The following is a 23,612-nucleotide window of genomic DNA, read 5'->3' on the forward strand; positions in this document are numbered from 1 at the left end:
AACCAGCCTGGCCAACATGGTGAAATCTCATCTCTACTAAAAGTACAAAACTTAGCTGGGTGTAGTGGTGTGCGCCTGTAGTCCCAGTTACTCAGGTGGCTGAGGCAGGAGAATTGCTTGGATCTGGGAGATGGAGGTTGCAGGGAGCCAAGATCACACCACTGCACTCCAGCCTGGGTGACAGAGTGAGACTCCATCTCTGGATCTTAGTAACATTTACCTGTTGATCCTGGTTTTCCTCGTTGAGTTAACAAAGTTTGATCCCTCTTCCCCAGAAGAGCTTATTACTTATTGGAAAACAGTAGCTGTCACTCTCTTGATGCACGTTCAATTCTAGGTAGTGCTTCTTTTACCAGCAGGCTCTCCTCTGCGAGAAAACCTTGTATCCTTAATAGTAATAATAGACACAGCTGACATTTATAAGGACTTATTACGTATTAAGCATCATGCTAAGTGTTTGGCATACATTATCGAATTTGATCCCCATAATAAGTCTATGAGGAGAGTACTATTAGCCTCATTTAATAGATGAGGAAATTGATGGTTAGAGAGGGCAAGGAATGTACAAGAAGTTGTGCAGTTAGATAAGCATTGAAGTAAGGATTTTTTTGAGACAAAGTCTTGTTCTGTCACCCAGGCTGGATTGCAGTAGTATGATCACGGCTCACTGCAGCTTCTACCTTCTTGGGCTCAGGTGATCCTCCCACCTCTGCCTCTTGAGTAACTGAAATCACAGGTGTATGCCACCACACTTGGCTAATTTTTGTGGAGACTGGGTTTCACCATGTTGCCCAGGCTGGTCTCCATCTCCTGGACTCAAGACATCTACTCATCTCAGTCTCCCAAAGTGCTGGAATTAACAGGCGTGAGCCACCATTCCTGGCCTGGAGTAAGGATTTTTATCAGATTAGATTCCATGTTCTGATCCAACTGCACTGCCTCTCATTGCCTGAGAACCTGGGGTTATCTTGGGAATACCGTTGCCTTACCGTGAACCTGCTTTTGTCTCTCTGGATGCAGGAAGGACCATCAGAGCACTCCACCTGTGCAGTATGGGGAACTGCAGGCTTTGCTAGAAGCCATGCTAAACCGATGTGCGGAGTTTTCCCAGACCTTGCTGAGCAGGAGGCCCCTGGTCAGTGTACTGCAGCCTGCTGCTTCCGAAGATCATGCTGCAGTGTGTTTTTAGAAAGATAATTAGTATATTCCCTTACTTTTGTATGCTATTTCATGACTTTTTCTCATGCACACATGGCTACAATGAGATGCTTTTTCCCTAATAGCAGAACTATGAAGCTTAAGGATTACTATTGTCATTTTTACAGATGGGGAAACTAAAGCCACGAGGGTTAAATAATTTTTCTCTAAGGTCCAAAACTATAAAGTACCTAAGCCTAGAACAGTAAATTCCAGGGTGTTTTTACCCCAGTCTATTACACACATTCTCTGTTTATATCATATAAGCAGATAGGGTAAACATGCTCACAAAATTATTTAAGTCTGAATTCACTAGAATCTTAGAATCTGACCAATGTGCCATGTGTTGTAGCTGCTGGCTTTTAATAGCCTGTAGACTTAAGATATCAGGAAAGACACTGTCAGTGTGAATGTTGATTATGTCTTTCAGGATTAACTTTGGAAACTAAGCTCTTTACACCTGATGGAGTGGGGATTTTCTTGTGTTTTAGAGCAACTAATAGGGCCATTATAGTCAAGCTAATGCCCACTAGCCTGTGACAGCTTTCTGCATATAATAGACCAATAGTCATTCCTGTGGTTCAGAGAGACTGTAGGTTAGGGTCCCTCCAACACTGCTACCATTTTTTTTTTTCCCGAGATGGAGTCTTACTCTGTGGCCCCAGTCTGGAGTGCAGTGGCACGATCTCGACTCACTGCAACCTCCGCCTCCCGGGTTCCAGTGATTCTCCTGCCTCAGCCTCCCGAGTAGCTGGGATTACAGGCATGCACCACCACACCTGGCTAATTTTTGTAATTTTAGTAGAGACAGGGTTTCACTGTGTTGGCCAGGCTGGTCTCGAACTCCTGACCTCCACCTCGGCCTCCTAAAGTTCTGGGATTACAGGCATGATCCACTGCGCTGGGCCCCTGCTACCATTTTTTTTTATTCTGAGACGGAGTCTTGCTCTGTTGCCCAGGCTGGAGTGCAGTGGTGCGATTTTGGCTCACTGCAACCTTCGCCTCCGGGGTTCAAGCAATTCTCCTGCCTCAGCCTCCCTAGTAGCTGGGACTACAGGTGCCCGCCACCATGCCTGGCTAATTTTTTTTGTATTTTTAGTAGAGACGGGGTTTCACTATGTTAGCCAGGATGGCTACGATCTCCTGACCTTGTGATCTGCCTGCCTTGGCCTCCCAAAGTGCTGGGATTACAAGCGTGAGCCACCATGCCCAGCTTTGCTATGATTTTTTTTTTTTTTTTTTTTTTTTTTTTTTTTTTTGAGACGGAGTCTCGCTCTGTCGCCCAGGCTGGAGTGCAGTGGCGGGATCTCGGCTCACTGCAAGCTCCGCCTCCCGGGTTCACGCCATTCTCCTGCCTCAGCCTCCCAAGTAGCTGGGACTACAGGCGCCCGCCTCTACGCCCGGCTAATTTTTTTGTATTTTTAGTAGAGACGGGGTTTCACCGTTTTAGCCGGGATGGTCTCGATCTCTTGACCTCGTGATCCGCCCGCCTCGGCCTCCCAAAGTGCTGGGATTACAGGCGTGAGCCACCGCGCCCGGCCTATGATTTTTTTAAAGGAGCTATTTGCAAGGATATAGCCAAGATCTCTTGGAAAGTTAGGTGTATGGGAATGTCAGACTGCAGTGTGAGAAGAAGAGGTCTACAGTCATCCAAGCATAGACTGAGACACAGCATATACTTGATCACTAGGTTCCTGTCTCTCCTTCCCACCTCAGGGCCATGCCTCCAGTAGAGATTCAGAGAAGGCCATTCTTCAAAGGGGAAAGTTCCTCCTCAGCACTCTGGAGGGATTTAGAAGTGCCTGCAGGTGAGGGGCCCTCTGAGGTATGAAGTAATAGCATGGAAGGTAGGGGTGGAAGGGATTCAGACAATGGGTGAAGTTCTAGAGGCAACACTTGATTTCTGATACTCTGCTGTATGGCAAAGAGGACTTTGGCTGGGGTAGGGGTTGGGGGTGTGTGGAGGAGGCTTGAGGACAGGCAGCTAGGGGTAGGACCTTTCTAAAGATTCCTTCCTCATGGAGTTTTTGCTACTGTGCCATGAGGTTGTGTCTTATTCACCTTCGTTCCCCACCACCCCCCAACTAGCCTAGCACTACAGGTATTCACTGAATGGTTGCTAAATTAATTCAGTTTACATTAACAAATGTTTGTTGTATCTACTGTGTGCCATGCCTGATGCTAGACAGTGAGGCTAGAAAGAAAAGTCAGAATGGCTCCTGCCCTCAAGGAGCTCACAGTCTCTTGGGGAAGAGATGCTTTTTGGTATATATGTGGGATTTGTTGGGTTTTCAAGAATCCGGGGAAGGTATTCCAGATAGAGAGAGCAGCATATTTAAAGGCAAATGAATGGGAAATAGCAAATAGCATGGCATATTCGGGGAAATACACACAATGGGGTAGAAGTACACATAGTTGGGGGAGGGGGTAGGGAGCAAGAATCTGGAGAGATAGCCAGGGATCAAGTCCTCTCCTCATTGTGGTCTATTGAATTTTCTCCCAGTCTGATAATAGAGATACTTTCCCTGGACCCTGAGCACAGGCACTCCCCGCCACCCCCCAGGAAGCTGTTTGTAACCTTTAGGTTGCATAGGTGGTAGTGGATATACTCACACATTGATTTCTTAGGTTGGCTATAGAATTCCAGAGTGAGCCTTCAGCCCAGGAGAATCCATTCACAGCTCCCAGCGCCAAGAAGGAAGACACCTTGGAGGCCTTCTCAGAATTTCTTCTCAGTGCCTGTGACTCGCTGTGTATCCCCATGGTGATGGTGGGTTCTCCTGAGCCACGGGCAACATGAAGCTTGGGGAAGAGAAGAATGTGCAGGCGAGCCAGGCTCAGAGGCATAAGGCAGTGACTGCTCAAAGGAACTCTCTGGGGGCCTCAGCAGTGCAATTCTTGCTGCTACCTTTCCTTTGTTCTAAAAATAAAATGTAGTGTTTGATTATGAAACTAACAGGTTCATCTTAAGAAAAAATAGAAAGCAGTAATAATAAAATAATAAGTGGGTAAGTTTATGGAGTGGAAAGTGCCTAATATTCACTATCTGATTTAGTTCTCCCAATGACCCTGGGAGATGGATGCTATAATTTGCCCTAATTTACAGATAAGTTTGTCATATTTCTGTAGTTATAAAGCAAGCCCATAACGTGCTGAGATTGAACCTATGACTTCAGGTCCCCTAGCTTTTCTTGTGTCTTTAATAATGAGCAGCAGTGAATGTCTGTGATCCAGGTGTTAACAAGGAACATGTATGTGTGTTCTGTAAAATGAGAGATGGCCACTCTGAAGAGAGACTTGATCCTTGATCCTGAAGAGCTTCATTTTGAGCTGACTTGAGGTTGAGATGGTGGGAAGAGCAGGGCCAAGAGCTGCTGACTCTGGGTAACCTTGGATGAGTAACCTCCTGCTTGAGGTTTGGGCATCCTATGAGCCTGTGAGGAGTCCCTGTTAGTCGGGAAAGGGCAACTCCTAACCATTTACTGGGAACAGTAGGTGGCAGCAGGGAGGCACCTCTGGCTCTGCACCAGCGAGGCTCTCTTCCTTGAAGAAGCCATTGAGCTGGAGTCTGCAGGAGGTAGTGGTCAGGAACCCTGGACTGTGGCCCTGACTTAACCCACTAACAGTAAGACTTGGGCAACTCATCGCAGTTTACTCACCTGCCCTGCCTTCCTCCTAGATTTTTGAAGTGTTAGAGCTAAATCTAGAAGTAGATCATAGAATTATTGTATTAGTCCTTCTTTCTACTTTTCTGTATTTTACACATTTTCTTTAATGAGCATATATTACTTTTATAATAATAATAATAATAAAACAACCAAACTTGCTCTAAAAATGAAAGGAAAGGTGTCAACAAGAACAGTGCCTCTGAGGACCCAGCTGTTTACAGAAAGGGAACTGAGACTCAGGGAAGGGAGAAGGTGACTACCCAAGGGCACACTGTGGTGGCTATGTACAGAGCCTGAACTAGAACCCTGTTTCTTTTTTTTTTTTTTTAATTCAGAGCTGTGTTTACCACATAAGACTGCCTCATGACTCTTGAAGAATTACCTGAAGGCTGGTCTGAGTGCAATGGTATTTACAACTAATTGATCACAACCAGTTACAGATTTATTTGTTTCTTCTCCATTCCCCCTGCTTTACTTGACCAGCCTTAATAATAACGGGCCGGGTGCGGTGGCTCACACCTGTAATTCCAGCACTTTGGGAGGCTGAGGCAGGTGGATCACTTGAGATCAGGAGTTTAAGACCAGCCTGGCCAACATGGCGAAACCCCGTCTCTACTAAAAATACAAAAATTAGCCGGGCGTGATGGCGCATGACTGTAATCCCAGCTACCTGGGAGGATGAGGCAGGAGTATCGCTTGAACCCGAGAGGCAGAGGTTTCAATGAGCCGAGATCGCACCACTGATCGCCAGCCTGGGTGACAGAGCAAGACTCCGTCTCAAAGAATAAAAAAAACCCCACCCCCACCCCCCCAAAAAAAACAAATATGAAGGCAGTTTATAAACTATATTATTATTATTACTATCGTAATAGAAACATGAGAGTCACTCTGCATTATGGTTTAGAAAGCAGTTTTTACACACCAGACCACATTTGTTTCTGGAAGGGATATCTTGTTATTCCCACTTTAGTCTTGGGAACAGAAGCCCAAAGAGATAAAGTATCTAGTACAATCTATCAGGTGATCCAAGCCTTAGATGTAGGTTTGGACTTTAAGTTCCCTAGCTTTTGTTGTGTCTTTCAAGTGAAAGGAGTTGCTAGATTTGATGTGAGTTTTCTCTGATGCCTTTTCTTCAGAGGCTCAGTCCCCGTGGGCTGTGTTCTCTCTCCTGGTTCTTTGCAGAGACACTTGGAGCAGACCACCCACCCAGCTTTGATGGAAGTTTTCCTCTCAATTCTACATAACCTCTTTGTCATCGTTCCCCACATGAAGGAGAAGTTTTCCAAGAAGCTTGGTAGGCAGCAGGCAAATGTGGAGGTTGGGAGGGAGGCAAGCACCTTAGGCAATGCTCAGAGAGTATTCAAAGAGAGGATAAGTTGTGGGTGCACATTTACTAATTCATTCAGAATCTGTATCTATTCTTTGTCCAGTGATGAGTGAAAGGAAGTGTCAGGCAGCAATCAAAAGTCATTAAAGGGGCTGGGCGTGGTAGCTCATGCCTGTAATCCTAGTGCTTTGGGAGACCAAGATGGGAGGATCACCTGAGGCTAGGAGTTTGAGACCAGCTTGGACAATACAGTGAGACCCCATCTCTAAAAAAAGATTAAAGAAAAATTAGCTGAGAGTTTTCAGTAACATTAGCGACTAATTATTAATAATAACTAACATTTAAGTTCTTACAGTGTGTGAGACTGTTTTAAGTGCTTTGCATGTATGGACTCATTTAGTCCTCAGAAAAACCCTAGGAATTGTCTATTATGATTGTACTCATTCCACTGATGAGCAAACTGAATCTCAGAGAGGTTAAGTAACTTGCCTAAGGTCACACTATAAGTGGTATGCCCAGGATTCAAATCCAGGGAATCTGACTGTAGAACATGCTTTTTTTTTTTTGTCTGAGATTGAGTCTCGCCCTGTTGCCCAGGCTGGAGTGCAGTGGTACGAACTTGGCTCACTGCCAGCTTCGCCTCCCAGGTCATGCCATTCTCCTGTTTCAGCGTCCTGATTAGCTGGGACTACAGGCGCCCGCCACCACGCCCGGCTAATTTTTTTGTATTTTTTAGTAGAGACGGGGTTTCACCGTGTTAGCCAGGATGGTCTCGATCTCCTGACCTCGTGATCTGCCCGCCTCGGCCTCCCAAAGTGCTGGGATTACAGGCGTGAGCGACCGCCCAGAACATGCTTTCTTAATCTCTGTGCTATATTTGGCTCTTATCATTATAATTTAATGTTTTTTCTTTTATTCTTGTCACATGGCATGCAACAAATGTTGTGCAACAAGTCTACTGTGGAGAGGCAGCCAGGGCTCAGCCATGTAGGCCCTTGTTGGCCATGTGAGGAATTTGGATTTTTTTCTTTTTTTTTTTTTGAGACAGAGTTTAGCTCTTGTTGCCCGGGCTAGAGTGCAATGGCACGATCTCGGCTCACCGCAACCTCCGCCTCCCGGGTTCAAGTGATTCTCCTGAGTCAGCCTTCCAAGTAGCTGAGATTACAGGCATGTGCCACCATGCCCGGCTAATTTTGTATTTTTAGTAGAGATGGGGTTTCTCCATGTTGGCCAGGCTGGTCTCAAACTCCCCACTTCAGGTGATCTGGCCACCTTGACCTCCCAAAGTGCTGGGGTTACAGACGTGAGCCACCACGCCTGGCCTGGAATTTGGATTTTATCCTAGGAGTTTTGTTGAGTTTTAAAGAAGTGGAGTAACATGTTCAGATTTCTGTTTCAGAAAGATCTTTCTTGGAGCAGTGTGGACTATGAGTTAGAGGGAGGCAGATTGGAGGCATGTATCTCAGCCTCTTGCATTAACTCAGGTTGGTGGTAGGAACTAAGGTAGTGTTGGGGCATGGAATAGCTGGATGTAGGGCTTGAAAGAGAGGGAACAGTTCAAGGTAATGCCTGGCTTCTGGCTGGCTTCTATGTGGATGGTGGTGTGTTTAACTGAGAGAAGGCTCACTGGGGGAGGATCTGGTTTGGGGGGGTCAGTAGAGGGTATGGTCAGTTTGGGTCAGGGTGAAAGTGAGATGTTCCAGTGAAGATGTTAGGTGGGTAATTGACTGTGTCTGAAGACAAGGGAGAGATCTGGGATTTAGATATAGGTATAGAAATCTTCAGCATCCAGCCTTTCATTCATTCAACAAATATTGGGCACCTACTGCATGCAAGATATAGGCTAGGGCTGGAGATCTAGCAGTGAACAAAACAGACCCCTGTCCTTGTGAGGCTGACTCCTCAGTGGGGATCAGGTGAGATTCTTCAAAGTTGAGGGTGTAAAATGAAATGATGAAAGAAGCCAAGACAAAATTGAGCATTTAATGGTCAGGAGGAGGAGAGGTACGAGCATTTGGAGAGGTAGGAAGGAAACCAGAAGGGTACGATATTAAGGAAGCCAAATGAAGAGAGTTTTGTGGATTGGGGAGTAGTCAGGAGTGTGAAAGGCATCCCAGAAGTCAAGTAAGATGAAGATTGAAAAATGTCCATTGGACTTGGCTTCATGGCAGCTTTTGGCCACATTGGCCGGAGCAGCTTCTGTGGGAGTGGTTGGAATGGAAGCCAGACCAGAGTGAGTTAAGGAATGAGTGCAAGATGAGGCAGTAGAGACAGGATACACAACTATTTTAACAAGTTTGGTGTGTGGGGAAGGTGAGAAATGGGGGTGTGAGTAGAGGGGAACATGGAATCAGGAAGGATTTTTTCTACCCCCTAAGATTGGAAACACTTACCTGATTAGCTGCTGATAGGAAGGAGCAGTAGAGAGACTGGTTGTTAGCCCATGTGAGTTGGAATTCTTCTCACCTCTCTTACTTGTTTATTGAGATTGTACAAATTAATTTTCTTATCTCCAGTGTCCTTAGCTAGAACATGGTGATAATAGTGAGAATTAAACAAGATGATGCATATAGATTTCCTGAAGACTGCATCCCTCAGCCATTGTGATAACTGATACACACTTCTTTCCTTCCTTCTAACATTCTTCCTGCCTGCCATACTTCCGGACCCAAGAGGATCTAGTCTTGGGGCGCTGGATGGGAGGCAAGTGTAGATCTCTTGGGGGCAGTGGTGGGGAATAGGGGATGTAGAAAAAGGCTGTGAGATCTGTAGGGAGATCTGTGTAGCATGAAGCCAGGTAGCACAGGATCAGAGGCTCAACCTGCAAGAGGGAGGAGGGAAGCAGGCACTGCCAGCCAGGAATGGTATGGAGACTTGGAGTAGGAGGGTGGAGAAACTCTGGATCCCTGAGAGATTGGGCCAAGAGGAGCCCATCTGGAAGGGAAGCTTGGTGCCCCTTCCTGGGAAAGTCATGGGTTAAATTGTTGCCCCAGAGAGTTGCTGTGAAACCCTGAGGGATTCCCTGTCAGCTGCTTTAGCCCCAGGATAAAATACAGATTATTCCCAACCCAGGGGCTGGTGAAGTGGGAGCTTCTGATGTCGTCTTTATCTAGGATTCTGCTTTTACAGTGGCCCAGGGAAGGCAGAACAGAGGTTAGTATTGACTGAAAGCCTTACTGGGGAGACTGGGAGGAGCCAGCAGCACAAAGGCCTGGGCCAGGGTCAACAGCTAAGGCAGAAACTGCTGGCTGGGTGCAGTGGCTCACGCCTGTAATCCCAGCACTTTGGGAGGCCAAGGTGGGCGGATCACCTGAGGTCCGATACCAGCCTGACCAACATATAGAAACCCTGTCTCTACTAAAAATACAAAATTAGCTGGGCGTGGTGGCGCGTGGCTGTAATCCCAGCTACTCAGGAGGCTGAGGCAGGAGACTCGCTTGAACCTGCGAGGCGGAGGTTACAGTGAGCCAAGATCGTGCCATTGCACTCTAGTCTGGGCAACAAGCGTGAAACTCCATCTTAAAAAAAAAAAAAAAAAGGCCAGGCGCAGTGGGTCACACCTGTAATCCCAGCACTTTGGGAGGCCGAGGTGGGTGGATCATGAGGTCAAGAGATCAAGACCATCCTGGCCAACATGGTGAAACCCCATCTCTACTAAAAATACAAAAATTAGCTGGGTATGGTGGTGCGTACCTGTAGTCCCAGTTACTCAGGAGGCTGAGGCAGGAGAATCACTTGAACCCGGGAGGTGGAGGTTGCAGTGAGCTGAGATCATGCCACTGCACTCCAGCCTGGCGACAGAGTGAGGCTCCGTCTCAGGAAAAAAAAAAAAAGAAAAGAAACTGTTATTGGACCTCTGTTCTGAGAATCAATTGCTTTCAACAGACAATTCAGAGATGAGAATAAAATAGTAACTACTGTTCTTTCTGCATCTGAAACTGGATTGTTTTCTATAAAACTGAAAGAAGGGATAGAAGGAGCAGATGTGCCCTTCCTAGGTCCTTGTCAAATGTACCAAATTGTAGTGGAGGATCATTCAGAATGGAAGAAAATGAACACTTATTGCAGCACTTACTTTGAGCCAAGTATTTGTTAGATGTTCTCCATACATTTATCTTACTTAGCTTTACAACACCCTGTGAGGTACAAATATCAAAACTGAGTCTCAGAGAAGTTAAAAAACTTTTCCGGAGTGAAACTACTAGACAGTGGTGGAGTACATTTTGAACCAAGTCTGTGTAACTCTGAAACCAGAGCTTTTTGATACCACCCAGGCTTGGGACTCTCTGTGACAAGTCTGGTTTAAACTGCTCTCTGCTTTATTCCCACTTCTCTGAAGCTTCCTCATCCTTCATACGACTGACCCTGGAGCTGAAGGCCAGGTTTTGCAGTGGTCTGAGGTATGTGTGGTCCCAGGCAAGATTGAGTGGCCAAGGGGCCAATGTCCCTCTTGATGGGACAAGTGGGAATTGTTGGCTGGTGTGTTTTAGTCATGGGCTCATGGTGGTGTTGACATAGTGTCAGCATTGCTCAGCATCTGGTGCAATAAGCTGGTCATGCTTCTGTAGGTTGTATTGAATCTAACGTGGTAAGGATCTTATTCCTGGTGATACTTGGATGGGTACCTGTCACATCAAAACTGGGAGAGGCCTGGTGCAGTGGCTCATGGCTGTAATCCCAGCACTTTGGGAGGCCAAGATGGGAGGATTGCTTGAAGCCAGCAGTTCAAGATCAACTTGGGCAGCATAGCAAGACCCTGGTCTCTACAATTTTTTTTTTTTTTTTGAGATGGAGTCTTGCTCTGTCACCCAGGCTGGAGTGCAGTGGTACAATCTTGGCTCACTGCAACAACCGCCTCCTGGGTTCAAGCAATTCTCCTGCCTCAGCACCTGAATAGCTGGGATTACAGGTGCTTGCCACCATTCCTGGCTAATTTTTGTGTTTTTAGTAGAGATGGCCAGACTGGTCTCAAACTCCTGACTTGAGGTGATCCGCCCGCCTTGGCCTCCCAGAGTGCTGGGATTACAGGCGTGAGCCACCGTGGCTGGCCACAAAAGTTTTGTGTTGTTTTTTTTTTAATTAGCCAGACCTGGTGGTAACACACCTTTAGTCCCAGATACTCAGGAGGCTGAGGCGAGAGGATCCTTGAGCTTATGAGGTCAAAGCAGCAGTGAGCTATGATCGCATCCCACTCTAGCCTGGACGACAGAGTGAGACCTTGTTTCTAAAAAAACACAAAAAGCCCCAAAAAACGCTTTCAGAGATCATTTGTTTAACCTCTTATTTAAATGAGGAAACTGGCCGGGTTTCCTCCGCCTTCTGAGTTCAAGTGATTCTCCTGCCTCAGCTTCCTGAGTAGCTAGGATTACAGGTGTGTGCCACCACGCCAGGCTAATTTTGTATTTTTAGTAGAGACAGGGTTTCACCATGTTGGTCAGGCTGGTCTAGAACTCCTGACCTCAGGTGATCCACCAGCCTCAGCCTCCCAAAGTGCTAGAATTACAGGCATAAGCCACTGTGCCCAGCCCCATATTTACTTTTCATAGCCACCTTAAGACCTCCTCTGCCACGGCCATGGCTAGAATTTCACTAGCCTCTGGCACAAAGCAGTGGTGCCCAGGCATATGGCAGGGATAATGCTCTCCCAGCCAAAGTAGCAATGTCATCTCTTCTATTCTTTCTTCTTCTCCCTCTAAGTCACTCAGCCCTAAACCAGGTGTGTTCCAATTTCCTCTACTATATGTGCCTCAACCTTCTCTCAGCTCCAGAGAAGACAGGACCACCTTCCAAAGAAGGTAAGATGCTACAATTTGACCACTCATGTGGCCTGTGCTGGTCTTTAGAGTCTGGGTGCCTTGCTGATTGACTAGATAGTGAGTTAGTACAGCCACGAGATTTCTTTGCCTGAGGCTGCCCAGAGGAATCGGAGTGATGCAATTATAGGTTGATTCCTAGGGATATGAAGTAATAGAACTGGAAAATGATGGAACCCAAGGCTCCTGGCACCTTAGAGTTGAGAAGGATCCTAATGTTCATCAAGTCCAGTTCCTTCTTCCTGACAGTCTCCTCTGCAACATCCCCATACCATAGGCCTCAGGAGTCCAGTGTTCACTATAGCATTAATAGTGTGTTCTATTTCTTCATTCATTCAAGTAGTGTTTCTTTTTTCTTTTTCTTTTTCTTTTTGTTTTTCTTTTATTTTAAGACAGTCTCGCTCTGTTGCCCAGGCTGGAGTGCAGTGGCATGATCTCAGCTCACTGCAACCTCTGCCTTCCAGGTTCAAGTGAGTCTCCTGCCTCAGCCTCCCAAGTAGCTGGGATTACAGGCTCCTGCCACCACGCCTGGCTAATTTTTGCATTTTTAGTAGAGACGGGCCTTCACCATGTTGGCCATGCTGGTTTCAAACTCCTGACCTCAGGTAATCTGCCTCGGCCTCCCAAAGTGCTGAGATTACAGATGTGAGCTACCGTGCCCAGCCAAGAGGTGTTTCTTGAGCACCTGTTGTGTGTCAGACTCCATTCCAGGTGCTGGTGAAAGAGCCAGGGATACAAAGCCCTGCTGTCATAAATTGAAACAGGCAGGCAATAAGCAAATGCATACTATGTCAGAGATCCATAGGCACTATGAAGAAAATAAAACTGGGCAAAAGGATAGAGAGTGATAGAAGGAGGAGAGAGACATGTTAGATAGGGTGGTCAGGGAAGGCCTCCATGTGGAAGTGGTATGTGAGCAGAGGTCTGAGTCAAGTAAAGGAAAGCCATGCAGAATCTAGGCAGGAGGAACAGCAGCTGCAGGGCTGAGAGCTGGAAGTTTTTCCTCTTGTTGAACATTCATTGAGCTTCTGCTACCTGCCAGGGGAGGCCTAGGTACTGCTGTGGATAGAGCGATTATAACAGTATGTTATTTGCCCTGAGGGGTTCCTCTATCTTAGACCTGTCTCCTGATATAATAGAAAACAGTTTAATAATTGTTTCATCATTCATTCAACAAATATACCTCTGTGGGTAAGACCTAGTTCTGGCTCTTTTCCCCCTTATTATATTTGTGAAGATTCTGTGTCCTCTCCCCCACTCTCTACACCTGCTGCTCTCTTTTATCTTTCCCAGACATCATGCTGAGAGGGAGCAAAGCCCAGGTGAGCATTTTTATTGCTTCCAACATAGCTTGGCTACTGGTTCTCTCACTATGCTGGCTACTCCTTTCTGCAATCTCCCTGTTAAGGCATGATCTGGCCTGCAGAGAGAATAGCATGATTTCTGCCATGTAGCCTAAGACTATTGGCAGTCACATCACCATCACCTCTCATGCTCATAAGTGCCTGCTCCACTGCTTCTGGCAGTTCCCTTGCTTGTCAAACCAAGGGGAGCCCCACACATCTCCTGCCTTAAACACTGGGGCTTCTTAAATCTCATTGTGCCAGGAAATGCAGCACATCTCTCATAACATTCAGACTGCTTTCTTTTATATATCAGGAGAAAGGCAGGTGGATGTGTGTGGCTGAAGGATATTTGTTTCATTATTATTATATTGATGAGAGCATGCTTTGGTGGACAAGCACTGAACTTGGAATTAGGAGAGCTGACCTGGCTCTGCTACCAAATTGCTGTGGGACATGCGCTATCCTCACCCTCTGCTTGCCCAGGACTTGGCCCTGGCAGGATGGATTCTTTCGGTTGACCTTCAACTGAGGTCCTGTCTTTCAATCTCTCATCCACTCACTGCTGGAAGGATTATCTGAAAACAAAGTCTTAACATCTTAACTCCCCTGGCTTTCAGCTGTGGTCTCCACACATCAGTCTGTGGAGTAGTGTCAAATAGTGATGAAGTTTTCTCTGGTCCATGGTGAAATGTGGAACATAAGGATAAAGTTGACTTTATTTAGGTTTTTTTGTTTGTTTTGTTTTTTGAGGCAGAGTCTCAGTCTGTTGCCCAGGCTGGAGTTGAGTGATGTCAGCTCACTGCAACCTCCACCTCCCAGATTCAAGTGATTCTTGTGTCTCAGCCTCACGAATAGCTGGGACTACAAGCATATGTCACCATGCCCAGGTGATTTTTTTGTATTTTTAGTAGAGATGGGGTTTTGCCATGTTGGCCAGGCTGGTCTTGAACTCCTGGCCTCAAACAATCTACCTGCCTTGGACTCCAAAGTGCTAGGATTACAGGTGTGAGCCACCGCACCTGGCCTTTATTCAAATTTTAAACTCTGAAGTCAGTCTTTTTCTTTCCTTTTTTTTTGTTTTGGGACAGCGTCTTGTTCTGTTGCCCAGGCTGGAGTGCAGTGGCGTGATCTCGGCTCATTGCAACCTCCACCTCCCGGGTTCAAGCAATTCTCCTGCGTCAGCTTCCTGAGTAGCTAGGACTACAGGCACTTGCCACCACGCTTGTCTAATTTTTGTATTTTTAATAGAGACAGGGTTTTGCCATGTTGGCCAGGCTGGTCTCGAACTCCTGACCTCAGGTGATCCACCTGCCTTGGTTTCCCAAAGTGCTGGCATTACCGGCTTGAGCCACCACGCCTATCCTTCTTTCCTGTTCTTTTGGTATTAAAATATTCTTTCTTTTATGAAACCGTTTTCGTAAGAAATCTAGAAGTCTCTGCCCTCAGGATGAAGTCCCAATTCCTTAAGTGGCATTTGCTTAAAGGTCTTTCACAGTCCAACTGCAGATTACATCACATAGTTCCCCAGCTTCTGACACCCCACATCTATTCACTGACTATCCAGTGACACTGAATGGAAACATGGCATGTCTTCTCATGCCTTCAGGCCTCTGAACACCTTGCTTCCTTTTCTCTTTTCTCCTGTCGCTGCCTCTTTTCTCCTCACCCTCCACAGTTTGTTTCTTTCTTTCTTTCTTTTTTTGAGACGGAGTCTCGCTCTGTCGCCCATGCTGGAGTGCAGTGACATGATCTCGGCTCACTGCAGGCTCCGCCTTCTGGGTTCACGCCATTCTCCTGCCTCAGCCTCCCAAGTAGCTGGGACTACAGGGGCCCGCCACCTCGCCTGGCTATTTTTTTGTATTTTTAGTAGAGACGGGTTTTCACCGTGTTAGCCAGGATGGTCTTGATCTCGTGACCTCGTGATCCGCCAGCCTCGGCCTCCCAAAGCTTGCTTTCTTTTTTCTGAGATGGAGTTTCGCGCTTGTCATTCAGGCTGGAGTGCAATGGTGCCATCTCAGCTCACTGCAACCTCTGCCTCCCAGGTTCAAGCGATTCTCCCACCTCAGCCTCCCAAGTAGCTGGGATTACAGGCGCCCGCCATCATAGCCGGCTAATTTTTGTATTTTTGTAGGGACGGGGTTTCACTATGTTGGCCAAGCTGGTCTTGAACTCCTGACCTCAGGTGATATACCCTCCTCAGCCTCCCAAAGTGCTGGGATTACAGCCTGGCCCACAGTTTCTTCCTCTTTGACCTTTCCTTCCCCATGCCAGGCAGCCTGAGTCACTCCCTCCTCAATATAGCGCTGATCACATGTCCTGCAATTGCCTGTCTCATTATGTGTCTCTTCCCATCAGCTGCCAGTTCCTGGAGGTAGGGCCTGGGTCTCACAGCCTGTCCTGAGTAGTAGCCACTCAATGAACATATGTCAAATGAATGAAAGAATGAATGTTTTTGGGAGGCCAAGGTGGGTGAATCACCTGAGGTCAGGAGTTTGAGACCAGCCTGGCCAACATGGCAAAACCCTGCCTCTACTAAAAATACAAAAAATTAGCTGGGCGTGGTGGTGGGTGCCTGTAATCACAGCTACTTGGGAGGCTGAGGCAGGAGAATTGCTTGAACCCAGAACGGGGAGGTTGCAGTGAGCCGAGATCATGCCATTGCACTCCAGCATGGGCAACAGAGCGAGACTCTGTCAAAAGAAAAACAAAACAAAAAAGGAATGAACGTTAATTTTTGAGACATATCCATGTCCTTCTGCTTGTGAAGTTTAGTCTTTCCCGGTAGGTTGAACCTTGCTCAAAGGAAGAGGAGCCTCTGATTTCCTTATTTCCCACTATACTGCATTTACCCTTGCTGCCCTGTGCAGTACTCTGCATGTAGTAGGTACTAATGTGCTGATTACCTGTTCTTCTATGTTCTCTGTGTGGCTTTCCTCTACTTATTCCCTCCCTAGAACTCTCTGCAGTGTCTGAGCTCCTGCAGCATGGGCTGCCCCAGATAAGCAGCAGGAGCCCTGAAAGCCTTGCCTTCCTGTCTGATCGCCAGTACATGGAGGGAGCTGCTCGCCAGAGACAGTACTGCATCCTGCTCCTCTTCTACTTGGCCTACATCCATGAAGACAGGTCAGTGCACAGAGGTGGGTGGCTGGTGGTGGGTCTTGGGACCTTCATCAGCAGTTCAGTTCAATAAATAAGGGCATCTCTCCAAGCCTGATGCTGGGCACTGGGGACACGGGGATAAGTAAGAAATGGGTTGTGTCCCTGAGAGGCTCATATCTTAGAAGTGGGTTAGAACAGGTGGGTAGACACTGTGCTGAGAGACAGAGGCCTAGAAAGCCAGTGAGTATTCCTTGCTATCCTTGAGGGTGTTGTTTGTCCACAGAAAAAAACTTCAGTAGGTTACTTTGGTTTTAATCATTACTGTTCAATTTATTACATTTTTAAAATCATGGCTGGGCATGGTGGCTCACGCCTGTAATCCCAATGCTTTGGGAGGCCAAGGTGGGCTGATCAGTTGAGGTCAGGAGTTCGAGACCAGCCTGGCCAACATGGCGAAACCCTGTCTCCACAAAACATACAAAAATTAGCCGGGCATGGTGTTGCACACCTGTAATCCCAGCTACTCTGGAGGCTGAGACAGGAGAATTGCTTGAACCCAGGAGACAGAGGTTGCAGTGAGCCAAGATTGTGCCACTGCACTCCAGCCTGGGTGACAGAGTGAGTGAGACTCCATTTCAAAAAGGATATAAAAATAAAAATAAAAGGGCTGTTCTTTCTTAAGCTGTAAGAAATAATTTGTTGGGCCGGGTGCAGTGGCTCACACCTGTAATCCCAGCACTTTGGGAGGCCGAGGCGGGTGGATCACCTGAGGTCAGGAGTTTGAGACCAGCCTGACCAACAAGGTGAAACCCTGTCTCTACTAAAAATACAAAAATCAGGCCGGGCGCGGTGGCTTACTCCTGTAATCCCAGCTCTTTGGGAGGCCGAGATGGGCAGATCACGAGGTCAGGAGATCGAGACCATCATGGCTAACAAGGTAAAACCCCGTCTCTACTAAAAATACAAAAAAATTAGCTGGGCATGGTGGTGGGTGCCTGTAGTCCCAGCTACTCGGGAGGCTGAGGCAGGAGAATGGTGTGAACCCGGGAGGCAGAGCTCTCAGTGAGCCGAGATCGTGCCACTGCACTCCAGCCTGGGCGACAGAGCGAGACTCCGTCTCAAAAAATAAATAAATAAATAAATAAATAAATAAAAATAAAAATACAAAAATCAGCCGGGCATGGTGGCAGGCGCCTGTAGTCCCAGCTACTCGGGAGGCTGAGACAGGAGAATTGCTTGAACCCAGGAGGTGGAGGTTGGAGTGAGCCAAGCTCATGCCACTGCACTCCAGCCTGGGTGTCAGAGTGAGTGAGACTCCATCTCAAAAAGGATATAAAAATAAAAGGACTGTTCTTTCTTAAGCCGTAAGAAATAATTTATTGGGCCGGGTACGGTGGCTCACATCTGTAATCCCAGCACTTTGGGAGGCCGAGGCGGGTGGATCACCTGAGGTCAGGAGTTTGAGACCAGCCTGACCAACAAGGTGAAACCCCATCTCTACTAAAAATACAAAAATCAGGCCGGGTGCAGTGGCTCACTCCTGTAATCCCAGCTCTTTGGGAGGCCGAGATGGGTGGATTACGAGGTCAGGAGATCGAGACCATCATGGCTAACACGGTGAAACCCCGTCTCTACTAAAAATACAAAAAAATTAGCCGGGCGTGGTGGTGGGTGCCTGTAGTCCCAGCTACTCGGGAGGCTGAGGCAGGAGAATGGCGTGAACCTGGGAGGCAGAGCTTGCAGTGAGCTGAGATCGCGCCACTGCACTCCAGCCTGGGCGACAGAGAGAGACTCTGTCTCAAAAAAAAATAAAAAAAAGAATAAAAAAAATAAAAATGAAAATACAAAAATCATCCGGGCGTGGTGGCAGGCGCCTGTAGTCCCAGCTACTGGGGAGGCTTAGACAGGAGAATTGCTTGAACCCGGGAGGCGGAGGTTGCAGTGAGCTGAGATCGTGCCACTGCACTCCAGCCTCGGTGACGGAGTGATACTCTGTCTCAAAAAATAAATAATTAATTAATAATAATAATTTATTGGCTGGGTGTAGTAGGACGAGCCGTAGACAGAACCTCTCAGACACCGAATTGTAGAAGGAAGGGCTTTATTCAGCTGGGAGCATTGGCAAGCTACTGCCTTAAAATCTGAGCTCTCCAAGTGCACAATTTCTGTCCCTTTCAAGGGCTCACAGCACTAAAGATTTCACATGAAAGGGTCGTGATTGATTTGAGCAAGCAAGGGGTACGTGGCAGGGGCTGCATGCACCGGCGGTCAGAGTGAAACAGAACAGAGCAGGGAGTTTCACAGTGTTCTTCCATACAATGCCTGAAATATATGTGTAACATCGGGTTCTAAGTCATGAGTTGATTTTTAACCGCTAGGTTTAAGCCAGGCAGGCCCAGGCCTGGTTTTGGGCCTGGCGCCGGGCTGCCTGGCTTTGATTTCACTTCTTTGTTTTTTTTCTTAAAACAGGTACTGAGTAGAAAACAATATAAAACAATATGAGAGGGTCTGTCTCTTCCCTCACGGGTGCGGTGGCTTACACCTGTAATCTCAGCACTTTGGAAGGCTGAGGTAGGTGGATCACCTGAGTTCAGGAGTTCAAGACCAACATGACCAACATGGTGAAACCCAGTCTCTACTAAAAATACAAAATTAGCTGAGTGTGGTGGCGAGCGTCTGTAATCCCAGCTACTGGGGAGGCTGAGGCAGGAGAATCACTTGAACTTGGAAGGCAGAGGTTGCAATGAGCTGATATTGTGCCATTGCACTCCAGCTTGGGCGACAGAGTGAGACTCAGTGTTTTTTTTTTGTTTTTTTTTTTTTGAGACGGAGACTCACTCTGTCGCCCAGGCTGGAGTGCAGTGGCCCAATCTCGGCTCACTGCAAGCTCTGCCTCCCGGGTTCACGCCATTCTCCTGCCTCAGCCTCCTGAGTAGCTGGAAATTCAGGTGCCCGCTACCACGCCCGGCTAATTTTTTGTATTTTTAGTATAGACGGAGTTTCACTGTGTTAGCCAGGATGGTCTGGATCTCCTGACCTCGTGATCTGCCCGCCTCGGCCTCCCAAAGTGCTGGGATTACAGGCGTGAGCCACTGCGCCCGGCCGACTCAGTCTTAAAAGAAAAAAAAAATTATTAAGGTAAAATTTACACAACATAAGCTTGACCATTTTAAAGTGAACAATTCAGTGGTATTTAATAGTACCTTTAAAATGCACAACCACCACCTTCATCTAGTTCTAGAACATTTCCATCACTGCAAAGCTGTCACTTCCGTTCCTCCTCCCCAGCTCCTGGCAATCAACAATCTGTTCTGTCTCTTTGGAGTTACCTATTCTGAATATTTCACATAGATGGAATCATACAGTGTGTGACTTTTTGTGTCTGGCTTCTTCCACTTAGCATATCATTTTAGAAGTCCATCCAGTGAGCATAATGTTTGTACCGTGTATCAGTACTTCATTCCTTTTATGGCTGATTAATATACCTTTGTATGTATACACCATAATTTGCTTTTATTCACCTATTGGTGGACATTTGGGCCTATCCACCTTTTGGCTATTGTGAATAGTGCTGTTGTAAACATGTGTGTACATGTATTTGTTTGAGTAGTGTTTTTAATTCTTTTTGGGTATATTCTCAATCCTCTCACCTTGGCCTCCTCAAATGCTACCATTACAGGCGTGAGCCACTGCACCTGGCCTCCTGTTTGCTGTCTTTTCGCTTTCTTTTCTTTCTTTCTTCCTTTCCTTTCCATTCCTGTCCTGTCCTATCCTGTCCTTTCCTCTTTTCCCTCCCCTCCCTTCACCTCCCTTCCTCTTACTTCCCCTCCCCTACTCTACCCTCCCTTTTTCCTTACCTTCCCCTTCCCCCTTCCTCTCCTTTCCTTTTGTATCTTGCTCTCTTACCCAGGCTGAATTGCAGTAGCACAATCATGGCTCGCTGCAGCCTCAACCTCCTGGGCTCCAGCGATCCTCCCATCTCAGCCTCCCATGTAGCTGGGACTATAGGCATGCGTCTACACAACCAGCTAATTTAACTGATTTTTTTTTTTTTTTTTGTAGAGAAGAGGTCTGACTATGTTGCCTAGGCTGGTCTCGAACTCCTGGCCTCAAGCAGTTCTCCCACCACAGCCTCCCAGAGTGCTGGGACTCTAGGCATGAGCCATCACACCTGGCCGTTTTCACTTTCTTAGTGGTATCTTTTAAGCACAAATGTTTTTAATTTTGATGACCTCTAATTTATCCATTTTTTTCTTTTGTCATTTATGCTTTTGGTGTTATATCTGTTAAATACACCACTGTTTAATGATAAATACAAGAAGAGAGGGGTGGAGCAGCTGCCAGAGCAGGGCCTTCTGAACCCCAGCAGTAGCACCCTTCTCTTTAACACTGCTGGTCCAGCTGGCAGATAGCTCACCTCCCAAGTGTGAATGAGGAGTATTTGGCCCCTAACTGAGCCTTGCACAAGGCACAGAACAATGTGATGTATATATATGGCAGTGCTTTGTAAGTATGTATAGCACACTGTTTGTCTAAGATGTCATTAGGCTGTGGGCATATTGGGGCAGGACAGTGGGCTGAGGAAGGATGCGGCCAGGCAGAATAGAAGAGCCCAGTGGCCTGCCAACTCTGCCTTTCTCACTCAGGCTTTTCTTGGTTGACAGGTTTGTCTCAGAGGCAGAGTTATTTGAGGCTGTGCAAAGCTTCCTCCTGTCGCTGCAGGACCAGGGCGAGCGCCCCCCACTGGTGGTCTTCAAAGCCTCCATCTATCTGCTTGCAATCTGCCAGGACAAAGACAATACACTACGTGAGGTATGGACCACAATGCCTGGGCTCCTTGTCCTTCTGTACCTCTTTACATTAGTGTTCCCTGGGAGACCATGATGATGATAGTGTATAGACAAGCGGGTGGTAGAGAGAGACAAAGCGGAGGTGTTAGGAGTGTGGAGAGGAGTAGGATGCAGACTCATACAGAGCCTGTATAATTTACCTAATTATCTCAGCCTTCCTGGGAGGAAGAGATTATTTGCATTCTACAGATAAGAAAATCGGGACTGAGGCTGGGCACGGTGGCTCACGTCTATAATCCCAGCACTTTGGGAGGCTGAGGTGGGCGGATCACTTGAGTTCGGGAGTGCAATGGTGTGATTTCGGCTCACTGCAACCTCCACCTTCTGGGTTCAAGCGATTCTCCTGCCTCAGCCAGGAGTTCAAGACCAGCCTGGGCAACATAGTAAGACCTTGTCTCTACAAAATATTAAAAATTAAAAAAAAACAACAACTCTTTGGTCACCTTTGGAGGATGCTATGCAACAAACTCATGTTTTTGAAAACTGGTAACCACAGGAAAAGAATCAAGCACTTAACCTATGTTTCCTATGTAATCTAATCTAACCCTTCAGAGTAACTGAATAGTTAATGAGGGGAAGTTTCCTTTTTTTTTTTTTTTTTTTTTGAGACGGAGTCTCGCTCTGTCACCCAGGCTGGAGTGCAGTGGCAGGATCGCTGTGGCAGGATCGCTGCTGACCACAACCTCCACCTCCTGGGTTCACGCCATTCTCCTGCCTCAGCCTCCTGAATAGCTGGGACTACTGGCGCCCGCCACCACACCCGGCTAATTTTTTGTATTTTTAGTAGAGACGGGGTTTCATCCTGTTAGCCAGGATGGTCTCAATCTCCTGACCTCGTGATCTGCCCGCCTCGGCCTCCCAAAGTGCTGGGATTACAGGCGTGAGCCACCGTGCCCGGCTGGAAGTTTCCTTTTATACAAGTATTTAAGTTAATAAACAGATAATGACAGAACTAGAATATTATTGTTTTGTAATCCCTAATTAATTAGTGGATCTAGGCAATGATCACCAGTGGCTGCTACTAGCACAAAGAGAGAGACAACAGGACATTGTGTGCCCAGGTGTGTCTTACTTGAAAACCCATTCACTTCCACTATGCCTTTCTGTTTCCACTCAAATTAAACCAGGTCTACTCTCATCACATTTGCCTCAACAGTAATCAAAAAGAGGCAAAATTAATAGTCAATGGAGGAAGAGTGCCTTTAGCTTTAGACTGAAGGGTCCACACTAAGGAACAGAAGCAATATTCTATGAAATAGGTGAGAGGTTCAGTGATGAATCAGACGTGGTCCTTGATTCCAGGAGTTTATAAGGAAGCTGGAGAGAGAAAACTTGTCCACACACAACCACCACGAAAGTGATCCAATAGCCTAATTAACAATGATCTGAGTCCCAGCAATCCACTTTCTTTAATAAACTGTTACCAGAAGAAGATACCAATACCTTAGAGCTCTTTGCTCCTGTACCAACCAGAGGTGGTACTAAGGAATGAGCCTTAGGAGTCAGTCAAGTCTGAGCTGGAGTCCGACTCCCGCATCAGTTAACTGTGTGACCTAGAGAAAGTTACTTGAACTTCAGTCTTGATTTTTTTTTTCAGAATACTAATAATGTTCATGACCTGAGAAGCCTTTGCTTCAAAATGAAAAGTTCTAATAATTGAACAACCAAGAGTCTTGCTCTTGTTTCCCAGGCTGGAGTGCAATGGCGCCATCTTGGCTCACTGTAACCTCCGCTTCCCAGGTTCAAGCAATTCTCCTGCCTCAGCCTCCCGAGTAGCTGGGATTACAGTGGGATTATAGGCATGTGCCACCACGCCCAGCTAATTATTGTATTTTTAGTAGAGACGGGTTTTCAACATGTTGGTCAGGCTGGTCTCTAACTCCTGACCTCAGGCGATCCACCCACCTCAGCCTTTCAAAGTGCTGGGATTACAGGCATGAGCCACCGTGCCCAGCCAGAAAATTTTTAAAAATTGGCCAGGTATGGTGGTGCGCACCTGTGGTCCCAGCTACTGGGAAGGCTGAGGTGGGAGGATTACTTGAGCGCAAGAGGTCGAGGCTGCAGTGAGCCATGTTCATGCCACCGCACTCCAGCCTGGGTGACAGAGTAAGACGTTGTCTCAAAAAATAAGATAAAATTTAGTATAAATATATAAAGGGCAACATACAATCACAACTTGATTTTTCTACTCAATTTTATTTTGATATTATTTCATCTTACAAAAAAATTTCAAGAACAGTTCAAAGACACCGATTAGCCAGATTCACCAATTTTTATTTTTATCTCATTTGCATTCTCTCTCTTCCCATCCC

General features: G+C 46.8%; 1 protein-coding gene across 30 annotated transcripts in view, besides 2 other annotated features; it reads left to right on the forward strand.

Annotated features, from left to right (window-relative positions):
* The window catches only part of MEI1 (meiotic double-stranded break formation protein 1), a 99,952-nt gene that overhangs the window by 42,557 nt on the left and 33,783 nt on the right, over positions 1-23,612 (forward strand). For 23 of the 30 annotated variants that reach the window (XR_937820.2, XR_937819.2, XR_007067959.1 and 20 more), the window contains 8 exons: positions 1,021-1,135; positions 2,914-3,005; positions 3,826-3,967; positions 6,048-6,159; positions 10,532-10,592; positions 11,890-11,987; positions 16,306-16,474; positions 21,115-21,262. Coding sequence is in view for 27 of the 30 variants with exons in the window: in XM_011529945.4 (XP_011528247.1) it covers positions 1,021-1,135; positions 2,914-3,005; positions 3,826-3,967; positions 6,048-6,159; positions 10,532-10,592; positions 11,890-11,987; positions 16,306-16,474; positions 21,115-21,262 (937 nt within the window). In the remaining 3 variants the exon portion in view is untranslated. Of the gene's footprint in view, positions 1-1,020; positions 1,136-2,887; positions 3,006-3,825; positions 3,968-6,047; positions 6,160-9,168; positions 9,346-10,531; positions 10,593-11,889; positions 11,988-13,298; positions 13,328-16,305; positions 16,489-21,114; positions 21,263-23,612 lie in introns of those variants that run through there. The other 7 variants (XM_011529947.3, XM_047441161.1, XM_011529935.3 and 4 more) reach the window with 6 other exon arrangements.
* Positions 5,177-5,226: an enhancer, noted in NCBI's record as "active region_19129". NCBI's record gives its function as "activates an Ori minimal core promoter by ATAC-STARR-seq in GM12878 lymphoblastoid cells {active_cell/tissue: GM12878}" and the evidence as "EXISTENCE:reporter gene assay evidence [ECO:0000049][PMID:35858748]".
* Positions 10,555-10,764: an enhancer, noted in NCBI's record as "active region_19130". NCBI's record gives its function as "activates an Ori minimal core promoter by ATAC-STARR-seq in GM12878 lymphoblastoid cells {active_cell/tissue: GM12878}" and the evidence as "EXISTENCE:reporter gene assay evidence [ECO:0000049][PMID:35858748]".

Source organism: Homo sapiens, chromosome 22 (genome assembly GCF_000001405.40).
Source record: "Homo sapiens chromosome 22, GRCh38.p14 Primary Assembly".
NCBI lineage: Eukaryota > Metazoa > Chordata > Mammalia > Primates > Hominidae > Homo > Homo sapiens.